Source organism: Homo sapiens, chromosome 19, assembly GCF_000001405.40.
Source record: "Homo sapiens chromosome 19, GRCh38.p14 Primary Assembly".
Taxonomy (NCBI): Eukaryota; Metazoa; Chordata; class Mammalia; order Primates; family Hominidae; genus Homo; species Homo sapiens.
The window spans coordinates 15,048,967-15,059,565 of NC_000019.10; the positions used below are offsets into that span (position 1 = coordinate 15,048,967).

Consider the following 10,599-nt stretch of genomic DNA (forward strand, 5'->3'; position numbering starts at 1 on the left):
CCTCCCAAAGCGCTGGGACTACAGACGTGACCCACCACACCTCACCCCTTATAGGGTTGAATGCCAACTGTGCCAATTGCTGACCTTGGGCAGTCATTTCACCTCTATGAGCCTCAGTTTCTCCATCTGCAAAATGGGAGCAAAAATACTGATCTGTCTAGACTCTTGAAGACTCGATGAGATAATAACTAAGTGAAGTCGGTGTTATCTACACAGTGGAAGGTGAGATGAATAAACTAGGCATAATGATGATGGTAATAACCAGATGGGCTGGCTATGGGATGGGGGTTGGGAGAGGTTGTGGCTGGGCTGGCACAGACATCTGACTCATTTAGACTCTCTGCCTAGGCCACCTTTGCCAGAGGGAGTCCCCTCAGCCTTGCGATCACTCATCCCATTGGCGTTGGCTCCATTTCCACACCACAGCTGTGTGCCAAGGGTGTGTCATGAGGTTTCTTGAGTGACAGAAAACTCACCGACAATAAAGGGCCAGGTGATTGTGCCACCCGATTCATAGACCAGGCTTCTCAGGAGAAACCCCGGGAGATTCCACACTGTCAGCCCCTTCTCCAAGATCAGTACGTGGGCCTGACTCCTCCTCGGTGCCCAGCTCAGTATTGGCAACTAGGAGAGTAGTGAGATTGAACTTGGCCTTGAGGAACAGCTGCCTCTAGAGTTGGTAAGTGATTTGGTGGATATTAGCCTCTCTCTCTCTCTCTCTCTCTCTCTCTCACACACACACACACACACACACACACACACACACGCACATACACACATACGCTCCCTCTCCCTTCATGAATTAATGCTCTGGCCAGTTTTGGCAGAATGGAAGAAATTTCCATCCATCCCCTCTTTCTTTTCATCTGTTCATTTTTTTCTTATTTGTTTACTCAGCAAATTCTCTCCAACACCACCTCTGTGCTCCCTGCCACACTGTTGGCCATGATGGAGACAGAGATAATGAAGTCAGGCTTTCAGTCCTGAAAACTGAGCTGCCAGTTCAGCCATGAGAGTAAGAATCAAAAACACTGCTGTAATTCAAGTAGGAGCAAGCAGAGCTGTGAGAGTCCAGAGAAGGAAGAGGAAAGTTCCAGGAGGTCAAGAGGGATCCTAAAACCTACCTGGGTCACCATTGCTGTTAAGCACCTAGAGCTCTCCCCAGGTCCTTTGCGGATGGGAAAATCGAGTCTCAGAGAGGAGAGTGAGATGCCGAAGGTCACACAGCTGGGAAGGGACTGAGGCAGGATTCGGTTCTGGCTCCAGGGCTATGCTCCTTCCACTTCCTCCCTCACAATCTTTGGCTCCTCTTTCGTCACAGCACTTGCTGTGTGTGTGTGTGAGTGTGTGTGTGTGAGAGAGAGAGAGAGAGAGAGAGATTTAATATTCATTTCTGTCACAGACTAGAGCTACAGAAGGACAGAAAGTCAGGGAGCATGTCTGTCTTACTTAATGGATTCTAAGTGCATAACACATAATAGATACCCAGAAAATATTTGCTGGGTAGGTGGGTGGGTGGGTGGATGGATTGATGGATGGATGGATGGATGGGTGGGTGGGTAGATGGATAAGTAAATAGGTGGATGGATAGATGGAAGATAGAGATGATGGATGAAGGAATGGATAGAAGGAGGGCTAGATGGAGGGATAGTTGGAAGATAGAATAGATGGAGGGATGGAAGACAGAGAGAGATAATGGATGAATGGATGGATGGATGGATGAATGAATGAGTGGTTGGATGAATAAGTGGATGGATAGATAGATGGATGGGTAGATAAATGGGTTGATGGAAGAATGAATGGGTATATGGGATGACTGATTAATAGATGGGTAGACAGACGGATGAATAGATGTGTGAGTGGGTGGATGGATGGATGGATGAGTGGATAGATAGGTAAGTGGAAAGATAAATTGGTGGATGGGTTGATGAATAAAAGGATGGATGTTAAATTGGATTGATGGATGACTAGATAGATGTGCGGGTGGAAGGATGGGTGGATGGGATGACTGATTAATAGATAAGTAGATGGACAGATGAATAGATGGAAGGGTGAGTGGGTGAATGGATGGATAGATGATGAATTAATGGATAGATGGTAGATGGATAGATGAATGAATTGATGGGTGACTGGATAGATAGATGGATAAAAACATAGATGAATGGATGGTTGATGGGGGAAGGCATAGCAGATATTATGCCACCAAAATTGTCAGAGAAGGATCTAGATAGAAAAAAAAAAAGCATTCCCGGTGGGGTGCAGTGGCTCACATCTATAATCCCAGCACTTTGGGAGGCTGAGGTGGGCAGATCATGAGGTCAGGAGATCAAGACCATCCTGGCTAACACAGTGAAATCCCGTCTCTACTAAAAATACAATAAAATTAGCCAGGCATGGTGGCGCATACCTGTAGTCCCAGCTACTCGGGAGGCTGAGGCAGGATCATCACTTGAACCCAGGAGGCAGAGGTTGCAGTGAGCCGAGATCATGCCACTGCACCCCAGACAGCCTGGGTGACAGAGTGAGATTCTGTCTCAAAAAAAAAAAAAAAAAAAGCAAAAAGCATTCCCTACTGAGGAGAAAGTGTAGGAAAAGGCAAAGAGATGGGGAAATGCCAAGAGTATGACAAAAGTCTGTCTGTGCAGCCAGAGAAGAGAACAGGACTCAGAGATGAGAATGGAGAATGTGGACAGACATTCAGACTCAAGGAAGAGCAAGGGAGGTGGATTGACCCCTTCGTATTGGAGACCCAGTGAGATAATATCAAAGTTGCATTCCCCACTTCGATGACATTCTCCTTTTAAACACTCCTCCAAGGCATCTCTTTGAGATGGCTTCCCCAGCCCGTCATCTCCTAGGTAGAAGAGGCAAACACATGGGTCACTTGCCCTGCTCCTCATTCCAGGGCTTTCAGGGGAAGTTCAGTCCACCAGAAGCTGGTGAATGACCCACGGGAGACACAGGAAGTTTTTGGGGGCGGAGTGGGGGACATTGTGGGGTAGGCTCAGCAGTTCTGAAGAAGACATCCAGAAATGGAAGACATCGTGAAATTGTCATTCTAGGGGTGATATATTACTACTTCATGGATTATCATCTATTGCCCAGATCTGTCCACAGACCAAATCCCCACCACTTGAGTGCTATTTGGTCTCAAAAATCCAGATACATAAGCCAGTTTGTCCCCTGAGCCCCTCGGCCTCCCTTTAGAGAACTTTAACCTATCTTCTCTTGACTCCAAGGATCAGACAAGGGTGCTGAGAGCCGGGACTCACAACCAAAGGAGAAATGAGCAATCCGCGGTCTTTGGAAGAGGTAGGCTGGGTGCAGGTTGAGGGGAGGGTGATCATCTGGGGAGAAGGAAGGTGAGGATTTTAATGTTTTGGAAAGAGTGGAGGGACTGAAAAAATCATGATCTGAACTCAGAGCTAGGAGGTACTTTGTAGTCAATCAAACAGCAAAAAAAGACTCAGAGATGGAACCGAAGTTGGGTTGGGTGGTGGGGGCAGTCAAACACAGCTACCTCTGTCTCCAAAGATCAAGTTCTTCTCAACACATTAAAGGTTCTGAGAAGTCCTGCAATAAACAATTTCATGTTGATTTTTTAAAAGATGAAGTTCTTACCACTGGGGTGCTCAGTACGCTGCTTCTGTTCTGGAAAGAACTGTTGACCCCCAATATTCTTCTTCCTCAGACGGGATCTCAGTATTAGCTTCAGAAACTCTGAGACCTCTGCAAGTGAGGAGGTAATAGAGGAATGCTCAGAACACTCTTGGGGAGGATGAGGAGACCTGCAAATCCACAAAATACGACAACTGGAAGGGATCTTCAAAATCACACACACACTCATTGTCTATATTTGGAAACTGAGGCTCAGATGGGAGCAGTGACTTCCCCCAAGTTCATACCAAGCTAGAAAAGAGCTGGACCCCAGGTTGGGTTGCTGTATTTGGGAACTAAAAATAAAGGACACCCAATTCAATTTGAATTTCACATCAACAACAAATAATTATGTAGTATAAGTATATCCCATGCAATATTTGGGATATACTTATACTAAAAAGGTATTTGGTTTTTATTTGAAATTTAAGTGTACCTGAGCATCTTCTATTATACCTGGCAACCCTAAGCCCAAGCCTCTCTTGTTTTGTTTGTTCATTTTTGAGACAGGGTCTCACTTATTGCCCAGGCTGGAGTGCAGTGACAAGATCATAGTTCACTGCAGCCTCAACTTCCCAGGCTCAAGCTATCCTCCCACTTCAGCCTCCAAAGTAGCTGGGACCACAGATGCACAGCAGCACACCCAGCTATATTTTTCATTTTTTGTAGAGACAGAGTCTCACTATGTTGCCCAGGCTGGTCTCGAACTCTTGGGCTCAAGCAATCCTCCCACCTCGGCCTCCCAAAGTGCTGGGATCACAGGCATGAGCCACCACACCCAGCCTGCATGCCTCTTTTGACTACATCTGCTTCTCCTTGAACCTCTCCATGCTGATTTCTGTCTTCTCTTGGCCCCAGGAGAAATATGATATGTCAGGTGCCCGCCTGGCCCTAATACTGTGTGTCACCAAAGCCCGGGAAGGTTCCGAAGAAGACCTGGATGCTCTGGAACACATGTTTCGGCAGCTGAGATTCGAAAGCACCATGAAAAGAGACCCCACTGCCGAGGTATTGGGGTGCCTACTCCAGGCCTGTTTGGGGGAAAGGTACTAGGTTGGAAGTGTAGGCTATGGGGACCCAGCTGAGTCTGGTTCTTCCTCTCACTCCAGCAATTCCAGGAAGAGCTGGAAAAATTCCAGCAGGCCATCGATTCCCGGGAAGATCCCGTCAGTTGTGCCTTCGTGGTACTCATGGCTCACGGGAGGGAAGGCTTCCTCAAGGGAGAAGATGGGGAGATGGTCAAGCTGGAGAATCTCTTCGAGGCCCTGAACAACAAGAACTGCCAGGCCCTGCGAGCTAAGCCCAAGGTGTACATCATACAGGCCTGTCGAGGAGGTGGGGACAGATCCAAGAGCACAGAGTCTGTGGTTTGTTGTTTCTGTTTTGTTTTTTGAGACAGCACCCAGGCTGGAATGCAGTGGCGGAATCTCAACTCACTGCAATCTCCATCTCCCAGGCTCCAGCCGTCCTCCTGCCTCAGCCTCCTGAGTAGCTGAGACTACAGGCTCCCGCCACTATGTCAGGCTAATTTTTGTAGACAGGGTCTGATTATGTTGCCCAGGCTGGTCTCAAACTCCTGAGCTCAAGCAATCCTCCTGCCTCAGCCTCCCACCATGCCCAACCAAGTCTGTGTTTTTATCCAAGCCAGTCCCAGATCCAAAGCCCCAGCTGAAGCCAGGCACCATGGCTCATGCCTGTAATTCCAGTACTTTGGGAGGCCCAGGCGGGAAGATTTTTTGAGGCCAGGAGTTCAAGACTAGCGTCGAGCAATGTAACAAGAACCCAGCTCTATGAAAAATATTAAAGATTAGCCAAGGGCATGGTGGCATGGGCCTGTGGTCCTAGCTACTCAGGAGGCTGAAGTAGGAGGATCACTTGAGCCCAGGAGTTAAGAGGCTGCAGTGAGCTATGATTACACCATTGCACTCCAGCCTGGGCAACAAAGCAAGCCCCTGTCTCTAAAAAGTTAAATTAAATTAAAAAGCCCCACTGCACATGGCATACCACAAAAGCATCCTTTTTTTTTTTTTTTTTTTAGACGGAGTCTTGCTCTGTCACCCAGGCTGGAGTGCGATGGCACAATCTTGGCTCACTGCAACCCCCACCTCCCAGGTTCAAGCAATTCTTCTGCCTCAGCCTCCCAAGTAGCTGGGATTACAGGTGCAAGCCACCATGCCTGGCTAATTTTTGTATTTTTAGTAGAGATGGGATTTGACCATGTTGGTCAGGCTGGTCTCAAACTCCTGACCTCAGGTGATCTGCCTTCCTCAGCCTCCCAAAGTGCTGGGATTACAGGTGTGAGCCACCGTGCCCAGCCCTTACCTTTCTTTTTAAGAGGCGACATCTCGCTCTGTCTCCCAGGCTAGAGTGTAGTGGTGCAATCATGGCTCACTGCAGCCTCAAGCTCCCAGGTTCAAGTGATCCTCCTGCTTCAGCCCCCCAAAACACTGGGAATACAGGTGTGAGCCACCCTGCCCAGCCCCTTTCCTTACCTTTCTCTCTGACTTTGCCTCCTCCTCTTCTTGTTGTTTCAGAACAAAGGGACCCCGGTGAAACAGTAGGTGGAGATGAGATTGTGATGGTCATCAAAGACAGCCCACAAACCATCCCAACATACACAGATGCCTTGCACGTTTATTCCACGGTAGAGGGTATGAGCTCCCAGCTGGCCCAGGGATCCCTCTGCTCTTCCCCCTCTCCTGCCACTCCCAACTCCTGAACCTCTCCTCCAGGACCCACGCCCTTCCAGGATCCCCTCTACCTACCCTCTGAAGCTCCCCCGAACCCACCTCTCTGGAATTCCCAGGATACATCGCCTACCGACATGATCAGAAAGGCTCATGCTTTATCCAGACCCTGGTGGATGTGTTCACGAAGAGGAAAGGACATATCTTGGAACTTCTGACAGAGGTGAGTTGACAAAAGGTAGCTGGGACCACCGCCCAGGCCAAGAAGGGTGCAGGCGGAGGGGGCTGAGCCTCCTCCTAACCCCTCTCCATTTCCCTCAGCTCCAAATCCAAGCCAGATCTCAATACAGAAACTAAGAAGCCCACTTTCCAACAACTTTCCCAAATGCAGGGACTCTTAAAAGCCACAGTATGGGAGATAAATTTCTATAAACAAATCCCCCTTGGATATAAACAATGTTTGGGCAAACTGTTTTCTTTTAATGTTTATATGTTTTTATTGCAAATTATTTAAAAAATGCCCAGCCAAGGATTCCATACAAACTATGGTATAGGAAGAGGCCACAACGGTCTCTCATCTTAGGACAAGAATACCCACCTGCCCCGTTCCCTAACCCTCCCCCCATAAGTCCATGACACTGACTCCTCCAAGCTCACCACACCTGTTGCTGCAGGTGACCCGGCGGATGGCAGAAGCAGAGCTGGTTCAAGAAGGAAAAGCAAGGAAAACGAACCCTGAAATCCAAAGCACCCTCCGGAAACGGCTGTATCTGCAGTAGAAGTAGAAAGACCAGGAGGAGCTTTCCTTCCAGCATTCTTTCTGTCTCACAGAAATTTAGAGGCAGCTCTTACCTCTCCCCAAGATCTTCTGTTCCCAAGGCCAAATGGCACCCAGTTTCTTTTCCATCACACCCTTCATGCAGGTCCTCCTGTCCTTATTAGAGCAAGCCAGCCAAAACTTAGCACAAGGCATGGTGGCAACATTAACATCACCTCCCTCAGGCTGGACTTTCTATCTTTATTAATGCAACCGAAGAGACCTAAGAGTGCATTCACTTATCCCACTTTCTGTTCCTGTGGTCTTCTTTCTCCCATGAAGCAGAAACTGGATAAAGCTCAAGATTTTCCATAGACAAACCAAAGCCCACTCATCCCCTCCTACCCCAATCCAACCTCTGCTGGCTCCTGCATCTCACTTGGAGGTCAAACCTCCTCCTGAGGCCAATGCATTCCCAACTTCCAGTTCTTTCCTTTACCCTGGAGAGTTAGTAAGGTAAGAACCATTCTTTCTCTCCAAAACCACTCCTCCTTGGCTGGCAAGTTGGTGTCCTAACTCCGTTCTCTTCCTAGCTCATGGCCTCTCTAGATAATAAAGTTGTCTCCTCCTTTCTGGATCTCTTCCTCCTAACACCCCTCCCCTGAAACCCTGGACTCTGCCCTCTCTCCAAGAAAATCCATCTATTCAACTATTCTTGCATTCAATTACTCTAAATGAGAGCGTGTTGGAGCTATGGCAAATTCCCTGTTGTCACCTTGCTATTTTGCAGACAACATAATATTTAACCTCTCATAACCAGAGAGGTTAAATAATTTGTCAAATGCAATACAGTAAGACAGAGGCAAGGACAAGGTTTGACTTCCAGCCCAGCCTCTTTTCCACAACCTGCTAAATCCTGATCCATCTGAAAACTTTTCTAATTAGTGAAGATGACTAATAAAAATTTTCCCTATCTCCAAGGTAGGAGCTTTCTGGAAGTTTCTAGAAATTTTCAATAACCACCAGCCAAGGTTACCTCCAGGTAACCTTGCAGCACCAGGCTGGAAGTCAGATCGGCTTCACTATCTTCCAACTCTACAGCCTGTATCTCTCCATCCCCAGCTTTGACCTTTCCTGCTCAAGTAACCTACGGGCACATCCAGCGTCACTAAAAACTCAGGGCTTTTCTTCCCGGTTACTCCTCCAAGCGTTCCCTGGTATCCTCAACCTCAGATCCCAGGTTCAGATTTCTGCAGTCAATCTATGACCCCTCTCTTCTTGCATCCTTCATATGCCACCAGACACCATGCCCAGTCCAGCCTGATTTTGAAACAACTTTCATGCCGGTCTTCTCTTCCCTGACATGTTACTGTCCAGGCTCAAGTCCTCAGCTTCTCATATCTGCATCTTTGCAACCAACTTCCTCCCTTGCCTCTCTGCTTTTCCATCCCACTTTTCATGTGTCCTCCATACCATCTATAACAGTGATCTCCCTGGAACACTCAAGAAGACACAACATACCATATTATTTAAAGACCAGGGTACTGGACAGTGGCTCACACCTGTATTCCCGACTTTGAGAGTCTGAAGCGGGAGGATCACTTGAGGCCAGGAGTTAAGAGACCAGCCTGGGCAACACAGCAAGACCCTGTCTCTAAAAAAAAAAATTAATTAACTGGGTATGGTGGCACATGCCTGTAGTCCCAGCTACTCAGGAGGCTGAGGTGGGAGGATGACTTGAGCCCAGGAGTTTGAGGCTGCAAGGAGCTATGATCATGCCAGTGCATCCCAGCTCTAGGTGAGACAGTGAGATCCGGTCTCCAAAATAAATCAATCAATCAAATAAAGACCAAAGTCAAACCGCACATCAGGATCTCTCACACCCTTCCAATTTTGCCATCTACCAGCACTTAGCTAAACCCATCTCCCATCTCTTCCACCATGAATTCACTCTTTCAAAAAGGCTAATGTCTTCTTACTCACCCTTGCCTCTAAGCCTTTGCTATCACCATTTCCCCCAAGCTGGAGGGCCCTCCCTCTCCCTTTACCCCTCTTCCACTACCTCCCACCCCTACTTTTTCCAGAAAGCCATTTCCTCTCTTTTTTCTGATTGATCCTTCCCTCTCACCCAGGATTAGATGCTGGAAATGACCACTTCTGGAGGGCAGGGAACAAGCCCTTAATCTGCATAATGAGTGTTCAATAAACAGTTGTCAAACTTTGAAAGAAAGTGTTGAAATCTTTGTTCTGTGCTGAAACAGTGAGGCTGATACAAAAGGAGTTATGGATTTAATTTCTTTTTTCCCAGTGGCTGGCTTCCTCCCAGGTGTGTCTATCATGAATGGAGAATCAGGAGCTTCAGCCTGTGTCTTCTTTCCTTTTTTTTTTCTTTAAGAGATGAGATCTTGCTCTGCCACCCAGGCTGGAGTACAGTGGCACCATCATAGCTCACTGCACCCTCGACCTCCTGGGCTCAAGCAATCCTCCCACCTCAGCCTCTCATGTAGCTGGGACTACAGGTGTGCATCACCACACCTGGCTAATTTTCTTATTTTTCGGTAGAGATTGGGTCTTGCTATGTTGCCGAGGCTGGTCTCACAGTCCTGGTCTCAAGCAATCCTCTTGCCTTGGCCTCCCAAAGTGCTGAGATTACAGATGTGACCCACCACACCGAGCTCCTGTCTCTTTCACAAAAACAGACGTGTTGGGAATTTGTAAAGTTACAGGCCACACTTTCATGCTGAATGGCTATCTTTTACATAATTGTTCCATCTCCAGAATGTTTCCAAGGAAGTATGCAGACAGAAAAATGTCACTTTTCAGAACTATAAGGGACATTGGAGGTGGGCTAGTTACAGCATCAAAGACATTTAGCAAGTGTGCCATCTCTCTAGCCTGGTGCCCATGGCAGACATGACTAATCAATCACACCTATTTTTCCTAATGAACTCAAGTGTTACCTCAAAGCCTTTCTCCTCTGAGCACTTGGGAAGCTGACACCTGTCTACTGGCATAAGTACATCATTCCTGATCCATTTGAACCTCCACCTTAGGAAGTCAATCGTCTATGGTCATTTTATGTGGTACACCCAGGAATCTAGCCATGGCAGTAACCGGGGTTTTATCCATGGAGATGGAAAACCAAGTGGCCAACACAGGGGTGGGTTCGAAGGGCCAAGAGATCTGGGGTGATGCATGCACTGAGCTCTATACACTTACTTACATGCCAACCTGCGGTCCAAACACCCAATGATTCTGGGAGTCTCCAAACATGAGGGTCAGAAAACTGTGTCTCACTCACCAGATCCAGTCTGCAGTTTGTTTTTATCAACAAAGCTTTGCTGGCACACAGGCATGTTTATTCACTTACATACTGGCTACGGCTGCCTTCAACCTACAATGGTAGAGTTGAGTAGTTAGAACAGACAGCATATGGCCCACAAAGCTGAAACTATTTACTATTTGGCCCCTTACAGAGAAGGTTTGACAACCCCTATC

The 10,599-nt window shown here is 47.6% G+C and overlaps 1 protein-coding gene across 2 annotated transcripts; it reads left to right on the forward strand.

Moving 5' to 3' along the window:
- Positions 1-513: 513 nt before the first annotated feature.
- CASP14 (caspase 14) lies at positions 514-9,327 on the forward strand. 2 transcript variants are annotated; one of them, NM_012114.3, is made up of 7 exons: positions 514-679; positions 3,240-3,312; positions 4,516-4,665; positions 4,767-4,992; positions 6,192-6,308; positions 6,464-6,567; positions 7,019-9,327. In NM_012114.3, the coding sequence occupies exons 2-7, from the start codon at positions 3,286-3,288 to the stop codon at positions 7,121-7,123; spliced, it is 729 nt and encodes a 242-aa protein (NP_036246.1). In that variant the 5' UTR covers positions 514-679; positions 3,240-3,285; the 3' UTR covers positions 7,124-9,327. The 2 variants fall into 2 exon arrangements, with proteins under 2 accessions (NP_036246.1, XP_011526163.1); XM_011527861.2 differs by lacking the exon at positions 7,019-9,327 and having other exon boundaries at positions 6,390-6,565.
- The last annotated feature ends 1,272 nt before the right edge of the window (positions 9,328-10,599 follow it).